The 23,620-nt window shown below is 45.5% G+C and overlaps 1 annotated feature.

Moving 5' to 3' along the window:
- Positions 781-1,281: an enhancer, noted in NCBI's record as "H3K4me1 hESC enhancer chr9:132287329-132287829 (GRCh37/hg19 assembly coordinates)". NCBI's record gives its function as "activates a minimal SCP1, AML or CMV promoter by ChIP-STARR-seq in naive H9 embryonic stem cells {active_cell/tissue: H9 hESC(naive)}" and the evidence as "EXISTENCE:reporter gene assay evidence [ECO:0000049][PMID:30033119]".

The following is a 23,620-nucleotide window of genomic DNA, read 5'->3' on the forward strand; positions in this document are numbered from 1 at the left end:
GGACCCACACAGACAAAGTTGCTGAACTTGCATCTCTTGCTTTTGAGGGGGCACAGGTTTGGGGAGACAGACATCTGGTTCCCATTGTGGAAACAGATCTCTCCTCCCAAGCTTGGGCTCTAGAACCCCACCCCGGAGAGGGAGAGGGGCGGGGCTGGGGAGGAGCCAGTGATCAAGTCTTCCCCTGCCTCCACCCTTTTTTTTTTTCTTTTTAGAGCAGTTTTAGGTTCACAGCAAAACTGAGAGGAAGGTGTTGAGACATTTCATATGTCCCTTGCCCCAACCATGCATAGCCTCCCATTATCAATGTCCCTACCAGATGTGTTAGTTGAGAACCCACACTGACACATCATTATCACCCAACATTCTCTGCCCTTTTTTTTAGTGTGTCAAAACAGGTGAGGCTCTCTCACTTCGTCAAAGGTCTGCTCCTTCTCACCCTCCCCCAGGCTGAGCTCTTACGAGGACTAATTAGAGTCCATTTTAACCCAAATGACCTGTCACCTCCCTATTAAAATGCCAGACGACAGTTCTGCTCCTGCAGTATCTGGGACCATCTGGGACAGGGGAGTGAGGTTAAGGTTGGGTTTAGTAAGGGGCCTGCCACGGCTGCTTTAATGTTGTAAAGTGCAAAGTTGGTGCTTGGAGCTGGTGGAGTGGGAATGCGGCTTGCTCGTTGGCGCATTAGACACACATCTCTCCAGCGCCTTGGATGTTTATGCAGCTACTGTGAGGATGCTGGAGATACAGAGAGGAGAGGAGGCCGGCCTCGCCCCCAGGGAGTGCAAGTCTGGTGCAGCAGAGAAGACAGCAAGTAAACAGCCACAGTGAAGTGCCAGGGCCTGCAGGGGACGCGTGGGCAATGTGTGTGGGTGGACGTTCAGCCTGGGCCAGACGGTGGGAGCAGGAAGTTCAAAGCAGGGTGGCACGGAGCCTTTGATCAGGTGTGTGGCTGGAGGGCAGAATGCCAGAGAGACTGGCCAGCCGTGAGATGGGACCCGAGGCAGGTTGGGTCCAGGCCAGGGTGGGCCTTCAATACCAGGTTCAAGAGTATGAATATGGTCCTTTGTTCTCTAAGACTCCTGCTCCAAACAGCAGGACTGCTTGGCACAATTGCCAATTAGGTAGAAATGGGGCAATTCCATTCCATTTCCCCAATATTCATGGACCACTATTGATGGTCTGCTGCAGGGAATACAGAGATGCAAAAAGCATTTTTATTTTTATTTTTTATTTTTTTGAGACAGAGTCTTGCTCTGTTGCTCAGGCAAGAGTACAGTGGTGCAATCTCAGCTCACAGCAACCTCTGCCTCCCGGGTTCCAGTGAGTCTCCTGCCTCAGCCTCCTGAGTAGCTGGGACTACAAGCACATGCCACCACGCCCAGCTAATTTTTGTAACAAAAAGCATTTTTAAGGAAACCAAAAAATAGCCAAACAAAACCCTGGACTTCCATTTCCAGCCATATTGCAGGCTAGACAGCAGAAAACCCTCCTGCTACAACATACTACTTGGAAATGGTGGCCAAACTATAACAACTATCCTTTTAAATGCATGGCTGAGCTTGCAAGAAAGGAAAAGAACTCCCCAGGGACAAAAACACAGAAGCAGCTGAAAACTAGAGCAGGAATCGGGCGACAAAAACACAGAAGTAGCTGAAAACTAGAGCAGGAATCAGGCAGCCGATGTTGGTGTGGTGTGAGCAGCATGGGTGAGGTGGAGGGTGTTGGTCTCTGCAGTCTGGGGATTGGAGTTTATAGCCCCTCTGGGGACAATAAATGAGGCTTTGGGCTCCACAAAGCAAGGGATTGTAAATGAGACCCACCCCCAAACCAGACTCTCCAGAGTTACATTCTCAGTGAAAAGGTAGAGAAGGGTAAAAACCAGTCTCCACTCAGGCAGATCACCTGCCACATCCTGGGCTTGGAGTGGGGAAAGCAGGCTGCTCTGGGAATTTGTAACCATAGGCTTAGCCTCAGGGGGTTTGAGATTTAAATTTAGACTGCTACTTATAGGCTCTGGGGACTCCCAAAGCAAAAGCTTAACACAAAAACAGGTCCCTTGGCACGGGGCAGAAACAAATGCAAACGTGCACTAGAGGGCTATGACCTCAACCCAGGCTGCCCAGGGTTCCCACCAACAGATGCCCCTGCAGATGAGCTCACAAAGGTAAATTACAAAACAAAAGTAGCCATAAGTGAGATCCAGCTGCAAAACCAACAGTACAAGTGGACACCCCAAGAACCCCAGATGATAGATCCAGGAGATAGAGACCATAAAATAGCTATGATTAAAATTACTAATGACAGGCCAGGTGCAGTGGCTCATGCTTGTAATCCCAGTACTTTGGGAGGCTGAGGTTGGCAGATCACTCGGGCCCAGGAGTTCAAGACCAGCCTGGGAAACATGGCAAAACCCCATTTCTATGAAAAATACAAAAATTAGCATGGCGTGGTGATGCATGCCTGTGGTCCCAGCTACTCAGGAGGCTGAGGTTGGAGGATCACTTGAGCCTGGGAGGTCGAGGCTGCCTGCAGTGAGCCATGATCGTGCCACTGCACTCCAGCCTTGGTGACAGAGCAAGACCTTGTCTAAAAAGAAAAAGAAAAAAAAGACACCCAGCACTTTGGGAGGCAAAGGCAGGTGGATCAGTTGAGGTCAGGAATTCGAGACCAGCCTGGCCAAAATGGCAAAATCCCATCTCTACTAAAAATACAAAAATTCGCTGGGCATAGTGGTGTGCACCTGTAGTCCCAGCTACTCGGGAGGCTGAGGAAAGAGAATCGCTTGAACCTGGGAGGTGGATGTTGCAGTAAGCCGAGATGGCACCACTGCACTCCAGCCTGGGTGACAGAGCAAGACTCTATCTCAAAAAAAAAAAAAAAAAAAAAAGACATAAAGAAGTTTTGGGAAATATCAAAATGAATTAGATATTATGAAAAAAAAGCAGAGTTTCTGGTTAGAGACAGCAGAATAAACGCAGGTATTTATCCCTGCTACCTCCTGAAATGCCTTTAAAATGGCAGAATAGGCATTTTCAAAATATCACAATGACAAAGAAAATGGGATGTGAGGTAAGAGAAACAAAATTTTCAAATTGGAAAGCAGACGGATGAGTGAGAACCACCTTAGTGGATGAAAAAAAAAACAGTCCTAAACTGGCAGTAAGGAGGGCCTAGACACAAAAGAAACCCCCAAAGGCTAGGAATTGAGTACCAGGTGCTTCTGGCAGCAGAGGTAAGGAGCATATTGAACCACAGGGGATTTGTTGAAAGACAGTTTAAAGAGCCATCAGTAACGTCCCAAGGTGACTCTCTCTACCACACCCCAGCAGAAGACAGATGGTTTATTCTGCAGAGCGGCTAAAGCCAAGGGTCTCTGGACTGAGGAAAAGTAAGTCCAGCTGGGGACGGGGTGCATCTTATTGAAAACAGGGGAATACAGTGAGGGTCTTTGTACTGAATATGAAGACTCCCAGTTGGCATCCAGGCTTAGTATGAACCTGTAGGCAGGAGATTCAAAGATAATTCCCTGGGGATCTGAGAAGCCCAAGAGCAAAGATCTAAAGACACTGACATTGTGAGCTCACTGATGAAGGAACCCAGCCAGATCACCCAACAGTGAAGTTCCTGGTGGGTAGCAAACTCTGAGCTCTCAGCTTCCTAGCAGCCTCTACACACAGAAGCCAATGGTCACCAAGGCACTTGGGGGAGACAAACAATAACAAATAGATCTTTTTTTAAAGAAAAAAGCTTAGGGAAAGAGATAAGAAGAAAATATAAAAAAAAATTATCATTAGTAGTACCAAAGATGAGCTATAGCACACATTAAACAAGAACAGGATGTTATCAAAAAGGAACATTCTGGCCAGGCGCAGTGGCTCATACCTGTAATCCCAGCACTTTGGGAGGCTGAGCCAAGCACATCACTTGAAGTCAAGAGTTCTAAACCACCCTGGCCAACATGGTGAAACCCCATCTCTACTAAAAAAAAAATAAATAAATACAAAAATTAGCCAGGTGTGGTGGCACACACCTGTAATCCCAGCTACTTGGGAGGCTGAAGCAGGAGAATTGCTTGAGCCTGGGAGGCGGAGGTTGCAGTGAGCAGAGATCGTGCCACTGTACTCCAGCTTGGGTGACAAAGCAAGACTGTGTCTCAAAAAAAAAAAAAAGGAACATTCTGAGAACAAAAAATATCTCATATCATTTGGATAGCACAAATTAAAAGCTTAGTGGAAGGGTTAGAAGATAAGGATAAAGATGAGGAAATAACTGAGATGGCAGAGCAAAAGGACAAAGCATAGGAGATTAAAGACATGAAAGTTACAGAATTATTCTGGGAGGATCTAACACCCAAGTATGAGGAGTCTCAGAAAGAATATAGAAAATAAAAGGGAGAGGGATCATCAACCAAGTTACTAAAGTAAATTTCTTTAGTTTTTAAAATTTTATTTTATGTGTATTTTTGTTGTTGTTGTTGTTGAGACAGAGTCTTGCTCTGTCTCCCAGGCTAATTTTTACACAAAAATTATCACAACCCCCGGATAATTTTTGTGTTTTTAGTAGAGATGGGGTTTCACCATGTTGGTCGGGCTGGTCTCGAACTCCTGACCTCAAGTGATCCACCTGCCTCCGCCTCCGCCTCCCAAAGTGCTGGAATTACATACGTGAGCCACTGTGCCTGGCCGACTTCTTTAAATTAAATGTGGGACTGGGCCCAGTGGCTCATGCCTGTAATCCCAGCCCTCTGTGAGGCCGAGGAGGGAGGATTGCTTGAGCCCAGGAGTTGGAGACCACAGTGGGTAACATAGTGAGACCCATCTCTACAAAAAATATTTAAAAATTAGCCAGCCATGGTGGCAGGTGCCTGGGGTCCCAGCTACTTGGGAGGCTGAGATGGGAAGTTCACTTGAGCCTAGGAGGTCAAGGCTGCAGTGAGCCTGATCGTGCCACTGCACTCCAGCCTGGGCAACAGAGCAAGACAGTGTCTCAAAACAAAACAAAACAAAAAGATATGAGTTTCCAGATTGAAAATGTGTAACAAGTATCTAACAAAATGGATGAAGATATTTGCCCACTAAAACACATTAATGAACCTTTTTTTTTTTTTTTTGAGACGGAGTCTCACTCTGTTGCCCAGGCTGGAGTGCAGTGGGATGATCTTGGCTCACTGCAAACTCTGCCTCCTGGGTTCAAGTGATCCTCCCACCTCAGCCTCCCAAGTAGTTGAGATTACAGGCTTGAGCCACTGCACCCGGCCTAATGTACTATTTTAAAAAAATACACTAACGTAAAATTTCAGATCACTGGGAACAAATGAAAAGTCATACAAGATTTCAACAGGAAAAAACAGGTTATAAACAAAGCACAAAGAATCAGAATGACATCAGACTTTTCAAATGGCCCTCCTGAAACCAAACCACAGTGGAGCAAATGCCTTCAAAATCCCAAGGAAAAAATATTTCAAAATATAGAATTCTATATCCAACCACATTATCAATCAGTTGTGAGAACAGAATAAAGACGTTTTCAGAAATGAACACAGAAAAAGTTCAGCTCCTGTGCATGCTTTCTAGAGAATTTACTAGAGGACAAGCTCCACCAAAACAAGGGAATAAACCAAGAAAGAGGGGAAAGTGGGAAACAAAGGCAGAAGAGAGACAGTGAGAACTCCCAAGATGGTGGTGAAGGGAGATCTCAGCAGGCCTAGAAAGCTGCCAGAGAGATTGAAACAAACCAGAAGGATCTGCAAAAAAATGTTTCCAAGAAGATGCAACTGAAAGATTAACTGATGTGCTTGGATGTACCAAGCAGCAGTTTGTGCTGCTGAATAAGGGTTTGGGATGAAGTGAGATAGAAAACTAAGAAGTCGGCCGGGCGCGGTGGCTCACGCCTGTAATCCGAGCATTTTGGGAGGCCAAGGCAGGCGGATCACGAGGTCAGGAGATCCAGACCATCCTGGCTAACACGGTGAAACCCCGTCTCTACTAAAAATACAACAAAAAAATTAGCCAGGCGTGGTGGCGGGCACCTGTAGTCCCAGCTACTCGGGAGGCTGAGGCAGGAGAATGGCGGGAACCCGGGAGGCGGAGCTTGCAGTGAGCCAAGATGGCGCCACTGTACTCCAGCCTGGGTGACAGAGTGAGGCTCTGTCTCAAAAAAAAAAGAAAAAAGAAAACCAAGAAGTCAAATAAATAAAAATAAGGCAATATTATTACAAGGAAAACAAAAGACTGTGGAAGAAAAAAAATAACTGCAGTGTTTTACTTAGCACAGGAGATGAAGAGGATTTATACAATCACAATATTGTAAACTTTCAATATTGAGCTAGCCCAAATTATGACTGAAGTATGTTGGAAGAATGATGAAACAGTAAGTAGGGTGAGGGTAGAGGGAGTAGTGGTGCTGGTGAAAGTCAGACAGTTTATTTATTTATTTATTTATTTATTTATTTTGAGACGGGGTTTCACTCTTGTTGCCCAGGCTGGAGTGCAATGGCACAATCTCGGCTCACCACAACCTCCACCTCCCGGGTTCAAGCGATTCTCCTGCCTCAGCCTCCTGAGTAGCTGGGATTATAGGCATGCACCACCATGCCTGGCCAATTTTTGTATTTTTAGTAGAGATGGGGTTTCTCCATGTTATTCAGGCTGGTCTCGAACTCCCGACCTCAGGTGATCTGCCCACCTCAGCCTCCAAAAGTGCTGGGATTACAGGCGTGAGCCACCACGCCTGGCACATTTTTTTTCTTTTGTGGAAAGTTGATACACAATGCTTAAGACTAAACACACACACACACACGCACACACACAGTTATTTAGTGATACAGAGGTAAATTTTAAAAGCAACAGCTACAAGAGTTCAAAGAGTTTGCATCTAAGAGCAAAAAAGCTGAGGAATTCAGGGATGGGGGACAGGAGGCTGTAGTTTCTCATAATAAACATTATGGACCTACTTGATGCTTTAAACTGCATACACGTATACAAATGAAAATTGAAAAGCAGTTGAGAAAGATTTAAATTTGGATAAGTTTCCCATATAATCATATGTGCCATCTTGAATCCTCTCAGCTCCATCAGTTTATGAGGGTCTTGGCCACTTGTTCTGTCCCAACCAGTTCCGCATGGGCACAGCTCCGTGCAGGCACAACCCGACAGTATTCTCACCTCCGGCCCCCACGGGCTGTTCCATGCTTGCTTGTGTTCCAAATGCTATGGGATCCACTCAATGTCCATGCATGTGCCAGATGGTTCCCCAAGATCAAGAAATCAATCGTGATTAACATCAAGCAGTGGCCAGATCAATCACGTACTTTCATATGAGTTCTCCCTTTTTTCCTATTTCCCCCTCTTCTAGCTTTCCTGTGCTTGCGCTCCCTAACACATTACTAGCCCTTCACTTTTACTTCAATTCTCAAGCCCTAGACAGTGGCCCTAGAAAGCAACCTTTGGTTTGAGATTTGGTGTTGGATTGTTCAGATCATACTTAATAGTGAAAGACTGAATGCTTTCTCCCTTAAAATCAGGAACAAGGCAAGGATGTTTTCTGTCACTACTGCTAGTCAACACCAGAAAGGAATTCCTAGCCAATGCAGTAAGGCAAGGAGAAAAGACATACAGCCAAGAAAGAAGAAAGAAAGAAAGAGAGAGAGAGAGAGAAGAAGAAAAAAAGAAAGAAAGAGAAAGAAAGAAAGAAAGAGAGAGAGAGAAAGAAATCTGCCTGTCTTCACACACAAGATTGTATATGTTGGCTGGATGAGGTGGCTCACGCCTGTAATCTCAACACTTTGGGCGGCTGAGGAGGGCAGATCACTTGAGGTCAGGAGTTCAAGACCAGACTGGCCAACATGGTAAAACCCCATCTCTACTAAAAATACAAAAATTAGTCAGGCGTGGTGACACATGCCTGTAGTCCCAGCTACTTGGGAGGCTGACACACGAGAATCACTTGAACCTGGAAGGCAGAGGTTGCAGTGAACCAGCAGCACGCCACTGCACTCCAACCTGGGTGATATAGTGAGACTCTATCTCAAAAAAAAAAAGAAAAAAGACTTTATATGTTTAAAAATCCCATAGAACTAAAAAGTTTAGCAAGGTCACAGGATGTAAATCAATATACAAAGATAAAAAATAAATAGTATATTCCTATACACTCCCAATGAATGACTAGAAATGAAAACTAAGAGATAGTGCTGAAAAAATAAATATTTGAGTATAAATCTGTATGCTGAAGGCTACAGAACATTAATGAAATAATACCTAAATAAATGGAGACATATACCATGTTCATGGATTAGAAGACTCAATATTGTGAAGCTGTCAACTGTGGTCAAGCTGATCTACAGATTCAATCCAATCCCAAAGAAAATCTAAGGATAATTGTTAGTAGAAGTCAACAAGCTAATTCTAAAATTTATATGAAAAAGAAAAGGAAATGGAATAACAAAAAGAGTTTTTAAAAAGAACAAAGTTAGGAGAGTGACATCATCTGATTTCAAGACTTAGTATTAATATAAAGCTACAGTAAGCAGACAGTGTGGGAATGGTAAAGGGACAGACATACAGGTCAGTGGAGCAGAGAATTCATAAATGGAACCACACAAATGTGGCCAAGTGATTTTTATTTATTTATTTTGGAGACAGAGTCTCACTCTGTCACTCAGGTAGGAGTGCAGTGGTGTGATCTCAGCTCACTGCAACCTCCAAGGTTCAAGCACTTCTCGTTCCTCAGCCTCCCAAGTAGCTGGGACTACAGGCAGGCACACACCACCATGCCTGGCTAATTTTTTTATTTTTTTTTTAAAGATGGGTTTTTGCCATATTGGCCAGGCTGGTCTCGATTCCTGACCTCAGGTGATCCACCTGCCTCGGCCTCCCAAAGTGCTGGGATTACAGGCGTGAGCCACCACGCCCGACCTGTATTTTTTTTTTTTTTAAGATGGGTTTTTGCCATATTGGCCAGGCTGGTCTTGACTCCTGACCTCAGGTGATCTGCCCGCATCAGCCTCCCAAAGTGTTGGGATTACAGGCATGAGACACTGCATCCGGCCAGCCAAGTGACTTTTGAGAAAGATGCGAAGGCAATCTAATTGAGAAAGGATAACTTTTTTTTTTTTTTTCCAGAAATGGGGTTGGAAAAACTGGATGGCCACATGTGGGAAAAAAAAAAAGAATGTCAACCCTTATCTCACATGTTATACAAAAATTAACTCAAAATTTATCATACACTTCAATATAAAATGTAAAACAATAGAGCTTTTAGAAAAAAACATTGGGGAATTGTAACCTTGGGATAAGCAAAGTGTTCTTAGATATGACACCAATGCATGATCCATAAAAGAAATAATAAACTAGATTTCCTTCAAAATTTAAACATTTACTTGTATTAATTTTGTTAAGAGAATGAAAAAATAAGGCCAGGCACGGTGGCTCACGCCTATAATCCTAGCACTTTGGGAAGCCGAGGCAGGCAGATCACCTGAGGTCAGGAATTTGAGACCAGCCTGGCCAACATGGTGAAACCCCGTCTCTACTAAAAATACAAAAGTTAGCCAGGCGTGGTGGCATATGTCTGTAATTCCAGCTACTTGGGAGGCTGAGGCAGGAGAATCGCTTGAACCCGGGAGGCGGAGGTGGCAGTGAGCCAAGATCGTGCCACTGCACTCCAGTCTGGGTGACAGAGTGAGAATCTGTCTAAAAAAAAAAAAAAGAATGGAAAAATAAGCCACAGTTTGGGAAAAAATATTTGCAAACCAAATATCCAACAAAAGATTTATATCCAGATTATATAAAGAACTCTAGGAGCTTAACAATAAAAAGACAAACAGGCCAGGCACAGTGGCTCACGCCTATAATTCTAGCACTTTAGGGAGCCAAGGTTCATGGGTCGCTTGAGCCAGGTATTTGAGACCAGCCTGGGCAACATGGTGAAACCCCACTTGTACAAAGAATACAAAAATTAGCCAGGTGTGGTGGTGCACACCTGTGGTCTCAGCTACTTGGGAGGCTGAGGTGGGAGGATCACTTAAGCCTGGGAGGTCAAAGCTGTACTACTGAGCCATGATCACAGCACTGCACTCCAGCCTGGGTGACAGAGCAAGACCCTGTCTCCAAAAAAAAAAAAAAGACAAACAATATGGTTTTTTTTTTTTGACACAGTTTCATTCTTGTGGGTCAGGCTGGAGTGCAATGGCACAATCTTGGCTCACTGCAACCTCCACCTCCTGGATTCAAGCAATTCTCCTGCCTCAGCCTCCCAAGTAGCTGGGATTACAGGCGTGAGCCATCACGCTTGGCTAATTTTTGTATTATTAGTAGAGACGGGGTTTCACCATGTTGGCCAGGCTGGTCTCAAACTCCTGACCTCAAGCAATCCACCCACCTTGGCTTCCCAAAGTGCTGGAATTACAGGCCTGAGCCGCCGCACCGGGCCACAATACAATTTTTTAAATGGGCAAACGATTTGAACAGATACTTATCAAAGAAGATATATGAATGGTAAATTAATGAATGAAAAGATACTCAATGTCATTCCCTAGTCACTAGGAAAATTTATATGAAAACCACATTGGGATGCTATTACACTTATTAAAATGGCTAAGTTCTAAAAAACAAACAATATCAAGTGCTATCAATATCATAGCATGACCAAGCCGGATTTATTCCAGGAAGCAAGAGTGATTCAATAATTTTAAGAGTTTAAAAAATCAACCAACATAAGACTGAGCACGGTGGCTCACGCCTGTAAACCCAACACTTTGGGAGGCTGAGGTGGGAAGATCCCTTGAGCCCAGGAGTTCGAGACCAGCCTGGACAACACAGTGAAACACAGGCCAAGGTGGGGGGATCACCTTAGGTCAGGAGTTTGAGACCAGCCTGGCCAACATGGCGAAACTTCATCTCTACCAAAAATACAAAAATTAGCCAGACGTGGTAGTGCATGCCTGTAATCCCAGCTACTCCAGAGGCTGAGGCAGGAGAATAGCTCGAACCCAGGAGGCAGAGATTGCAGTGAGCCGAGATCTCACCATTGTACTCCAGCCTAGGTGACAGAGTGAGACTCTGTCTCAAAAAAACAAACAAACAAACAAACAAAAAACCAGATTAATAAGAGAAGAACATAACAGAGGGCCAGGCGCGGTGGCTCACACCTGTAATCCCAGTACTTTCGGAGGCCGAGGCGGGCAGATCAGAGGTCAGGGGATCGAGACATCCTGGCCAACATGGTGAAACCCTGTCTCTACTAAAAATACAAAAATCAGCTGGGCGTGGTGGTACATGCCTGTAGTCCCAGCTACTTGGGAGGCTGAGGCAGGAGAATGGCTTGAACCAGGGAGTTGGAGGTTGCAGTGAGCAGAGGTCGCACCACTGCATTCCAGCCTGGTGACAGAGTGAGACTCCTTCTCAAAAAAAAAAAAAAAAAAAAAAGCCGGGCGCAGTGGCTAATGCCTGTAATCCCAGCACTTTGGGAGGCCGAGGTGGGTGGATTACCTGAGGTCAGGTGTTCAAAACCAGCCTGGTCAACAGGGCGAAACCCCGTCTCTACTAAAAATACAAAACTTAGCCTGGTGTGGTGGCATGCACCTGTAGAACCAGCTACTCTGGAGGCTGAGGCAGGAGAATCACTTGAACCCGGGATTGTGCCCCACTGCACTCCAGCCTGGGCAACAGAGCGAGATTCCATTAAAAAAAAAAAAAGAACATAATAAATATATTTCATAATAGTTTTACTTGATTATGGGAGCTTTCAGAATGAAGACCCAAAGACCCAGGGTGAACTGTGCACTTTTATACTTAGGTTCAATCAAGTATAGACAACTGCATAGAAATATGATTGGACCAAAAGGGTGTGATCTAATAGTAAGAGGCTGAGTATGGAAACCCAGCAAGGCCAGTCTGTTTAGACTTTTCTTGGCCTCTCTGTGCACGTTCCTTCCTTCCAGGTATGCGGCAGGACGTTCCCTGGAATGAGGGTCCCATGACCTACAATCAAACAAGGTAGGTCAGAAAAATGTCTTTCTGGCCAGCTGTTACACAGAAAGGTGAAGGAGGGTTAGGGTCATATTTGTAGGCATTGTGGCTGGCTTCAGGGAAGAGGGTTCTGGTTTCTATGATCCACTTTGGGGAACAGGAATTGTAGTTTCCATGGCTCGCCTCAGGGGAGAATGAGGGGTGAGAGACAGAAGGGCAGGGAAAGGTCAGGGAGAAACTTTGCTTCTGAAGCTTTTACTTTGAGGCATTGTTTTCTGAGCCCCAACAACCTCAAGCCAGAAACAACCCAAATATCCACCAATAGGAGAATGTGGAACTATATTGTGGGCTAGTCACACAATGGAATACTAAACATTAAGAACAAGTGAACTGGCCGGGTGCAGTGGCTCACGCCTGTAATCCTAGCACTTTAGGAGGCCAAGGCAGGCAGATCACCTGAGGTCAGGAGTTCAAGACCAGCCTGGCCAACATGGTGAAACCCCATCTCTACTAAAAGTATAAAAATTGGGGCCGGGCACGGTGGCTCATACCTGTAATCCCAGCACTTTGGGAGGCCGAGGAGGGTGGATCACGAGGTCAGGAGACCGAGACCAGCCTGGCCAACATGGTGAAACCCCGTCTCTACTAAAACTACAAAAAATTAGCCGGGCATGGTGGCAGGCACCTGTAGTCACAGCTACTCGAGAGGCTGAGGCAGGAGAATCTCTTGAACCTGGTAGGTGGAGGTTGCAGTGAGCTGAGACCGCGCCTCTGCACCCCAACCTGGGCAACAGAGCGAGACTCTGTCTCAAAAAGAAAAAAAAGGATAAAAATTAGCCAGGCGTGGTGGTGCGTGCCTGCAATCCCAGCTACCTGGGAGGCTGAGGCAGGAGAATATCTGGAACCCGGGAGGCAGAGGCTCCAGTGAGCCGAGACTGTGCCACTTCACTCCAGCCTGGGCAATAGAGCAAGACTCTGTCTCAAAAAAAAAAAAAAAAAAGAACAATTGTACAATTGTGCTTCAGAACATCACACGTACTCCATAAATATATACACCTATTATGTACCCACACAAATTAAAAATTAGGCCAGGCACAGTGGCTCATGCCTGGAATTCCAGCACTTTGGGAGGCCAAGGTGGACGAATTGCTCAAGCGCAGGAGTTCGAGGCCAGCCTGGGCAACATGGTGAAACCCTGTCTGTGCCAAAACTATAAAAAATAGCTGAGTGTGGTGGCCACACATCTATAGTTCCAGGTACTCAGGAGGCTGAGGTGAGAGGATTGCTGGAGACCAGGAGATGGAGGTTGCAGTGAGTTGAGACTGTGCCACTGTACTCCAACCTAGGCAACCTTGTCTCAAAAAAAAAATTAAAAATGTGAAAAGAGAATGATTGAGCTATTGTTACACAGAACAACATTTATGAACTTCACAAACATAATATGAATAAGATAAGTCAAATGTAAATGAATATACTGAATGATTTCATTTATAAAAATTCCAAAAACAGGCAAAACTTTTCTATGATGATAAAAGTCGAATCCATGGTAATCTTCTAGGAGTTAATGACTTGGAGGGTATGAGGAACGCTTCTAGATGCTGATCATGCCCTAATCTTGATGGTAATTACATAGGTGTGTTCACTTTGTAAAAATTTATCAAACTAAACATTTAAGATTTCTGCCATTTTCTGTATATTATTCATTAATAAAATGTTTACTTGGCTGGGCGCGTTGGCTCATGCCTGTAATCCCAACACTATAGGAGGCCGAGGCAGGCAGATCACCTGAGGTCGGGAGTTCGAGACCAGCCTGACCCACATGGAGAAACCCCGTCTCTACTAAAAATACAAAATTAGCTGGGCGTGGTGGCACATGCCTGTAATCCCAGCTACTCAGGAGGCTCAGGCAGGAGAATCGTTTGAACCCAGGAGGCGGAGGTTGCGGTGAGCCGAGATCGCGCCATTGCACTCCAGCCTGGGCAACAAGAGCGAAATTCCATCTCAAAAATAAATAAATAAATAAAAACAAAATGTTTAAGCAAACAGCTTTGGCTTGTTTTATATAGATATCATTCAAAAATACTTGATAAATACTAAAAGGTATAGAAGAGAATAAAAATGACCCATATTCTCCCACTCCTGTTCACACTTTGGTGGGCCACCCCATTCAGTGTATACATATCCTAAAAGCCTCACTCACCGAAGACAAAATTTCACAAGCCATAGATCAAATGCTAAGGCTAGAAGGACACTGATATAAAAGCTGAAGGCACCGGGCACAGTGGTTCACACATGTAATACCCAGCACTTTGGTAGGCTTAGGCAGGAGGATCCCTTGAGCTCAGGAGTTCGAGACTAGCCTGGGCAACATAGTGAGACATGTCTCTACAAAAAATTTATATTTATTCTTATTTTTTTGAGACAGAGAGTCTCACTCTATGGCCCAGGCTGGATTGCAGTGGTGCGATCATGGCTCACTGCAACCTCCACCTCCCGGGTTCAGGCAATTCTCATGCCTCAGCCTCCTAAGTAGCTGAGATTACAGGCATGCATCACCATGCCCAGCTAATTTTTGTATTTTTAGTAGAGACAGGGTTTCACCATGTTGGCCAGGCTGGTCTCAAACTCCTGGCCTCAAGTGTTCCACCCACCTCGGCCTCCCATAGTGCTAGGATTACAGGTGGCACCACCATTCCTGGTCTTTTTTTATTTTCAATTTTTTTGTGGACAAAATTTTTTTAAAAAATTAGCTGGGCTACTCAGGAGGCTGAGGTGAGAGGATTGCTTGAGCCCAGGAGGTTGAGGCTGCAGTGAGCCATGATTGCACCACTGCACTCCAGCCTGGGCAACAGAGCAAGACTTTGTCTCAATAAATAAATAAATAAATAAAAGCTCACGAGATGGAATAAACTCTTGACTAGACACAAAGAGAGAGGTGGATAATAGAAAGCTAAAACTGAAGAATTCACATAGAAGGCAATACAGCAAAAGTGATGAAAAATATCAAAGAAAATTAGGAGAAATGGAGGATAATATTAGAAGGTCAAGCATCCATATGATAGGAATTTCTAGAAGTACCATATAGAGGGAATGACAAGAGAGGCATAGTCAAAGGCATAAAGGCTGAGAATTCTCAAAAAGTGAGTAAGTTCTCAGAATAAAGAGACATGAGTTCTCAGAATAAAGAAGCCCAATGAAAGACAGGCTAAATAAGTAAAAATACACATTTCGCCTAGATACACTGTAATTCAGAATGCCAAAAATAAGGATAAAATCTTAAAAGCAACTCTGAGGGAGAAAAACAATTACCTACAAAGAAATGACAAATAAACCAACAGAATTCTCCTGAGCCACAAAAGGAGCAAGAAAACAATGGAATAATACCTTTAGGGTGTTGAGGAAAATTAACTACCAACTCAGATTAACATACCTAGCTAAACTGTCAGTAAAGAGTGTGAGCAGGCTGGGTGAGGTGTCTCATGCCTGTAATCCCAGCAGTTTGGGAGGCCAAGGTGGAAGGATCGCTTAAGCCCAGGAGTCGAGACTAGCTCTGGTAACTTAGCGAGATCCTGTTTCTACAAAAAATTTAAAAATTAACTAGGCATGGTGGCACATGCCTATAATCTCAACTACTTGGGAGGCTGAGGTGAGACAATCCCTTGAGCTGGAGAGATCAAGGCTGAAGTGACTCCTGATCATGCCATTGCAGCCCAGCCCGCGTGACAGAGCTAAAACAAAAAAGGGGAGTGAAAGGAAAATGTTTTCTTCTTTTTCTTTTCTCTTTTTTTTTTTTTGAGATGGAGTCTCACTTTGTTGCCCAGGCTGGAGTGAAGTGGCACCATCTTGGCTCACTGCAAACTCCGCCTCCCGGGTTCAAGCGATTCTCCTGCCTCAGCCTCCTGAGTAGCTGGGATTACAGGCACCCACCACCACACCTGGCTAATTTTTGTATTTTCAGTAGAGATGGGGTTTCACCATGTTGGTCAGGTTGGTCTCAAACTCCTGACCTCGTGATCTGCCCACCTCAGCCTCCCAAAGTGCTGGGATTACAGGCATGAGCCACCGCACCTGGCCCAATGTTTTCTTCTTCTTCATTTCAACACTATCCACTTGGAGAGGAAAGCATTTTCAAACCTACAAATCCCAAGATTTTTCACCCCCAAACTTTTGCTGCAAAAACTCTTAAAAGAGATTCTCTGCCAAAAAGAAACATAAATTAAAAGGGAAGGAGTATCAAGGAGCGGTAGTGAACAAATAATTTAATAAATGATATTGGTAAATCTAGCTATTATCCTAGGATAGAAGTTCAGCTGCTCTGACAGAGATCCAAAATACTAGCAGCTCACAAAGATAGAATTTTCTTTCTCCCTAAGTAACAGTCTGGGCATAAATAGTCATACGGCAGCTCCGAGTTATTGGAGACTCAGGTTCCTTATGTTTTCTTTCTTTCTTTCCTTTTTTCTTTTTTTTTTTTGAGACAGAGTCTCGCTCTTGTTGCCCAGGCTAGAGTGCAGTGGCATGATCTCAGCTCACTGCAACCTCCACCTCCCGGGTTCAAGTGATTGTCCTGCTTCAGCCTCCTAAGTATCTGGGATTACAGGTGCCCGCCAGTATGCCAGCTGATTTTTGTATTTTTAGTAGGAACGGGGTTTCACCATGTTGGCCAGGCTGGTCTCAAATTCCTGACCTCGTGATCGACCTGCCTCGGCCTCCCAAAGTGCTGGGATTACAGGTGTGAGCCACCACGCCCAGCTCGGGGCTTTTCTTTGAGACAGATCTTTGTTCTTGTTGCCCAGGCTGGAATGCAGTGGTGCAATCTCAGCTCACTGCAACCTCCGCCTCTGGGTTCAGGTGATTCTCCTGCCTCAGCCTCTCAAGTAGCTGAGATTACAGGTGCACATCACCACCCCCAGCTAATTTTTGTGTTTTTAGTAGAGATGGGGTTTCACCATGTTGGCCAGGCTGGTCTCGAACTCCTGACCTCAAGTGATCCAACCGCCTCATCCTCCCAAAGTGCTGGGATTATAGGCGTGAGCCACCACGCCCTGCCCCTTATGTTTTCTTGCTTCTTGATCCCTGTAATATTGCTCTGAACCCCCTAGTTCAAGATGGCTCACCACTGCACCCTCCTTCCCATCAACAGAAAGGGCAGGGTGTGCTGTTTCCTTTCAAGAGTAGGATCTGTAAGTCACACACACTGTATCACTCCTCTTACATCCCATAATCCATAGCTAGCTCCAAAGGAGGCTGGGAAATATAGTTCTTATCGGGTCTACCACATGTCCAGATAAAAAATTTTATTACTTTGCAAGACAGGAAGAGTGGATATTGGGGGACAACCAGCAACTCTGCCACAACCATTGTCTGTAAAAACTATATAATCCTAATGAAATTTTTGACATGAAATAATATAATTAAATCAAGAAGGAAATGTATCTAGGCAAGAAAGCCTGGAGCAGGGATATGTATTGAATGATCATTTGTACAGTTTGCAAAATGACACTCATTCAGTGTCAAGTGTCTGCAAAAGAGTGAAATTTCCATCTAAAATCAAGAAGTTCCATCTAAAATATAATAAGAAAAGACTAAGACTTTCACAAAGATGGAAGATCATGCAAATGACAATGTTAAGAATTAGATTGAGAGCCGGACGCGGTGGCTCATGCCTGTAATTCCAGTACTTTGGGAGGCCGAGGCAGGTGGATCACAAGGTCAGGAGTTCGAGACCAGCCTGGCCAACATAGTGAAACCCGGTCTCTACTAAAAATACAAAAAATTAGCCGGGCGTGGTGGCAGGTGCCTGTAGTCCCAGCTACTTGGGAGGCTGAGGCAGGAGAATCACTTGAACCCGGGAGGCAGAAGTTGCAGTGAGCCGAGATTGTGCCACTGCACTCCAGCCTGGGCAACAAGAGTGAAACTCTGGCACACACACACACAAAAGAATTAAATTGATACACTAAGATATGTCAAATCACATTCAGAAGACGGGCAGTAAATTTATACACTATCTAACTGTTAAAAAGGTGGAGTTCACATTTCAGACAAAAGTAACCAGGGTTATTTTTCAAGGTTTATGATATTTCCAGACTTACTATAATGCTACAGTAATCAGGACAATGGGATGTTGGCCTTAGGACAAACCAAAAGATCAATGGAGCAAGGAATCTAGAAATAGACCCATATATATATATATATTTTTTAAAGGCAGCTTAAAATAACAACTATATCTTCTTTTTTTGTTTTTTGAGACAGGGTCTTGCTTTGTAGCCTAGGCAAGGAGTGCAGTGGCATGATCATGGCTCAGTGCAGCCTCTCAACCTCTCAGACTCAAGCAATCCTCCCACCTCAGCCTCTCAAGTAGCTGGGACTACAGGTGTGTGCCACCACATCTGGCTAATTTTTAGATTTTTTATAGAGATGGGGTTTTGCGTTGTTGCCCAGGCTGGTCTGGAACTCCTGGGCTCAAGCAATCCTTACCTCTCAGCCTCCTAAAGTGCTGGGATCACAGGCATGCACCACCACACCCAGCCAACAATCCTGTCTTTGAAAACTAAGAAGCACATTTCTATTTCATAGGTTCAAGAGGAAATTGTTGCAGGAACGTTATTTCCTAATCTTGATGCTTCCTTCCATGCAGTGGGAGCTAAATCTGCATGACACACCCAGCCTCTCCCTTCTCCTTTCCACCCTCAGGCCTGGAGAAAGAGTGACTTACCTGACTGGTGAATGTGGGAACCGTAAAATGGGCCCACTTGACTCACCCACTCCCTTTCTCTTCCTGGGAGTGAGTGAGCCGCCCACAGGCAGTGGTCATTCTCTGCTCCTGCACCTGCCACCGCCAGCATCACAGTGACCAGGGGTTAAGGTGGCCAAATCCCCCTTTTCAGAAACCCATTTGGCTGTTTTACCTACCCTCATCCTCCAATCTTATTTCTATCAGTTTTTTTAAAAATGATTTTTTAAGGCCGGGTGCGGTGGCTCACATCTGTAATCCCAGCACTCTGGGAGGCCAAGGCAGGAGGACCCCTTGAAGCCAGGAGTTTGAGATCAACCTGGGCAACAAAGCAAGACCCCCATCTCTACAAAAAAAAAAAAAAAAAAAGTTTTAACCGCAAAAAAAAAAAAAAAAATTTTCCCTCCTCTGCTGACTCTTGCCTTATCTCTCAGTTAGTTCAGAATCCAGGAAGGAAAAGGGAAGTTATTCACTGAGCCCACTCAAAGACAACAGAAATCCCAATGGGAATTATGAAATATTTGCTCAATATGAAATATTTGCTCAATACAAAACAAAATTTGCAGAATGCAACTAAAAGGACATTTATGGAGAAATATATAATCTTAAGTGCATTTACTTTAAAACAAGAATGACTAAAACATACATGTGTAAAGCTTTCAACTAACTAAAGAAGCTTCAAACAAACAAAAAACAACAGTGGAAGGGAATAAACAATAAAGATAAGAGCATCAATGAAAAGGAAATCAACAATTACAGAATATTCAATAAAGCCCAAAGCTGTTTCTTTGAAATGACAAAATAGAAGAACATCTAGCAAGATTAATCAAGGAAAAGAAGAGTAAAGGCACAAATATCTAACATTAGGAATTTTAAAAAGTATGAAACTACAGATAGACTGGAAGTTTTAAGAATCATAAATGAAATAGAGAATTTACAGGAAAGCATAAATGATCAAAGTTTATTCAAAAACAAGAGAAACCCTGTCGGGTGCGGTGGCTCACGCCTGTAATCCCAACACTTTGGGAGGCCGAGGCGGGTGGATCACGAGGTCAGGAGATCAAGACCATCCTGGCTAGCACAGTGAAAGCCCATCTCTACTAAAAATACAAACAAAAAATTAGCCGGGCGTGGTGGCGGGCGCCTGTAGTCCCAGCTACTCGGGAGGCTGAGGCAGGAGAATGGCGTGAACCCGGGAGGCGGAGCTTGCAGTGAGCTGAGATCGCACCACTGCACTCCAGCCTGGGCGACAAAGTGAGACTCAGCCTCAAAACACACACACACACACACACACACACACAAAAACAAGAGAAACCCTAAATAAATCAATGGCCATTAAAGAAAAGAAATCAGCATTTTAAAAAATCACGCTTTGGCCGGGCGCGATGGCTCATGCCTGTAATCCCAGCACTTTGGGAGGCCAAGGTGGGCAGATCACAAGGTCAGGAGTTCAAGACCAGCCTGACCAACAGGATGAAACACTGTCTCTACTAAAAATACAAAAATTAGCCAGGCGTGGTGGTGCGCACCTGTAATCCCAGCTACTCAGGAGGCTGAGGCAGGAGAATCGCTTGAACCCGGGAGGCAGAGATTGCAGTGAGCTGAGATGGTACCACTGCACTCCAGCCTGGGCAACAGAGCAAGACTCCATCTCAAAAAAAAAACAAAAAAACCAAAAAAAAATGAGCCAGGTGTGGTGGCACGCACCTGTAATCCCAGCTACTCGGGAGGCTGAGGCAGGAGAATTGCTTGAACCTGGGAGGCAGAGGTTGCAGTGAGCCGAGATCATGCCACTGCACTCCAGCCTGAGCAACAGAGACACCGTCTCAAAAATAAATAAATAAAACTTAAAAAAATAAAAAATCACCCCTCCTACTCTCCACCTCCCCAGAGAAACCCCATATGCGGTGGACAGAAATGAGACCGAGATGTTTCTCAGAGGCAGAAGGAAGACAGGAACAGCTAGGGGTCTGGAAGTATTTGAGTCTCATGATCTCATCCTTACTCAGGGCTGCTCCATTCCTGTCCTTATCCCTGTTTTGTTTCACGTGGACTCCTAAGTTCTCCTTTTCCTTAGGCACATTCGGCTTGGTGTCTGTCATCGTATGTAACCTGAATACAAGCAGGGTACTAAATGTCCCAGTCATTTTCAAAAAATGATGGAGTGGCACAGTGTCTCACATGGTCCCAGGGTTCCCCTTTACACAAATACCTTCAAAATTCCACATTGGTGGCCACTGCTAAAAACAAGCTTTCCTTCTCTGTCTGCTTCTGAAACACCTCCCTAGCAGCTGATCCTACGTGCTTCCTTCCTTTGTGCCACATCAGCCCAGTCTTGGGTGGGGGGCTTCTGGTCCCACCTGCTGTTCTGCTCTTGGAGGGCCAGAGAATCCTAGATCTCCATGCCAGCCACGCAGCCCCCATCCTCCCCAGTCCCCTGGGGAAATCTTGGTGAGGAATTTCAGGTAACTCAAGTTTGCCTCCCTGTTGTACTGGAACCCATTCTCTACTTCTCAGAGCTCTTAAGCGGATTCAGTGCAAGGTGTTCAGCCCCGGTCTGACACAGGGCTGGGCCTTAAGAGTTCAGTATATGACGTATCTCCTTCATCCTCCACCCCAATGCCAACACAGAGCCTGGCCAAGCAGCACTTCCTCTAGAGGGAAATTTCCTCTAGTAGAAGGCAGAGAACGGGAGGAGCTCTAGACCACTGGGTAAGAGACTTCGGGGGCTACCGAATGACAGAGTTAAAAGGGACTTCAGGGCTGGGCATGGTGGCTCACGCCTGTAATCCCAGCACTTTGGGAGGCTGAGGCGGGTGGCTCACTTGAGGTCAGGAGTTCAAGACCAGCCTGACCAATATGGTGAAACCCCGTCTCTACTAAAAATACAAAATTTAGCTGGGTGTGGTGGTGTGTGCCCGTAGTTCCAGCTATTCGGGAGACTGAGGCAGGAGAATCGCTTGAACCTGGGAGGCAGAGGTTGCAGTGAGCCGAGATTGTGCCACTGCACTCCAGCCTGGGTGAGAGAGCGAGACTCCATCTCAAAAAAAAAAAAAAGGAAAGGGAAGGACTTCAGGCGTGAGCAACCAGGTTATTGCTCAACCTTGAATTTTTCTTCTGGAAGACTCTGGCATACACAGTCCCTTGTAGTAAGCTCCCAGCATGGAAGAAGGCACCAAGACAGAGACTGGGTAAGAACTGAGGGTCCATTGAAAGTCCTTAGAATCAATGCCCTTGAGCGGACAGACTCCCCAGCAGCCCTGCAGGCATTGTCAGAGGATAACCCGATGTTCTAACCCCTCCTGTCAGGCCACCATCATTCAAGCACAACTACACATGTGGAGGCCCAGCCGGGAAACCAGTAGCTGGTCAAACGCGTTGCAATAAATATATTTTCAGCCAATGATAACTATTTAATTGGGTCCTAATTAATGAATGTTCACAGAGCATTTGTGATGCTTCAGAGAACGGTCCCCTGAAAGACACAAGTGCTATGAGTCTATTAGCAGTGGCATTTTAAGGCACTCAAAATTGTAGGTGTGCTAGATCCCAGAAGATTACATTCACTGAAAGTGAACATTAAAATTAGTGCCCTTGTGTGACCCCACCTTTCTCCACTCCTTCTTTCCTCCTTCCTGCTTCCAGAAACATCACGGGTCTGACAGAGCCATGTGGTGGGAATAAGGCTCTTGTAGACTCACAACATTTGACTCTCAGGCTGAGAACTAGACCTTCTCACCTGGGACTCCACGGGGGCAGGTGTGGGTCTCCTTCATTCATGGCTGCACCCCAGCCCCTAGTGTAGGGCTGGCCTGGCACCAATAAGGGGCCTCATCTCTCAGAAGGATGAATACATGAAATGTTAGCCTCAACTTATCAGAGCGCTGGGCTCCCAGCCTCTCCATAGCAGGATCACAGACTGCTGGGCTCCTAGCACCCTAGACTGAAGGATGTGGAGGGCAGCACCCCTATTCTGCAGATGCAAAACCAAGAAACTTCAGGGCTTCCGCCTCACACTTCTGGTTGTTGGAGCAGGAGAGGAATGGAGAGAAGGAAGGAAAGGGGGCGAAGGAAAAGTCTTCTCTCCTGGTTATCAAGGGACACCCCATGAGCTGGGACAGCAACAGAAGCTCCCTCTCCCCAGAGGGCCCCAGGACCCCTCCACTTTCCCTGCTCTGCCCTCATTCTCCCCTCCACAGGGCCAGGAAAGGCAAGGTAGCTCTGGGAGCTGAGAAGATCCTGAAGGAAGAGTGTGGGCTGTGACCTGCCCCCATGGGCTGCACTCTCCCTCTCCCACGCTGGGGAATTCCACCAGGGCTCAGGGAGTTCTTTCATCCGCCCCTGGGTGAATCTTGGACTCTTTTTTTGAGATAGAGTTTCATTCTTGCTGCCATTACAATGGCACAATCTTGGCTCACTGCAACCTCTACCTCCCGGGTTCAAGCGATTCTCCTGCCTCAGCCTCCCAAGCAGCTGAGACTACAGGTGCACACCACTGCGCCTGGTTAATATTTTTGTGTGTATTTTTAGTAGAGATGGGGTTTCATCACGTTGGCCAGGCTGGTCTCGAACTCCTCGAACTCCTAACCTCAGGTGATCCGCCTGCCTCGGCCTCCCAAAGTGCTGGGATTACAGGTGTGAGCTACCGCGCCCGGCCAAAACTTGGACTCTTTTATTGAGCTGTTCTCCCTAATCCACCTTCCATTTCCACTCAATGGGACTCACTAGTTAGCGGGCTATGGATCCACTGGGGAGGGTTGTGTGGCCCAAGATGATGGAGAAAGAGCTCCAGTCGGTCCCGGGAGGCCTGGCCTTTTTTGGACCAGTTTCCCTGACTGGAAAATAAGCTTTGATTAGAAGAGCTCTGAGCCCCCTTGCAGCTCCAATCTGCTCAGATTTTATTTTTTTATGGACTCCA

This window comes from Homo sapiens, chromosome 9 (assembly GCF_000001405.40).
Source record: "Homo sapiens chromosome 9, GRCh38.p14 Primary Assembly".
In the NCBI taxonomy this organism is placed as follows: domain Eukaryota; kingdom Metazoa; phylum Chordata; class Mammalia; order Primates; family Hominidae; genus Homo; species Homo sapiens.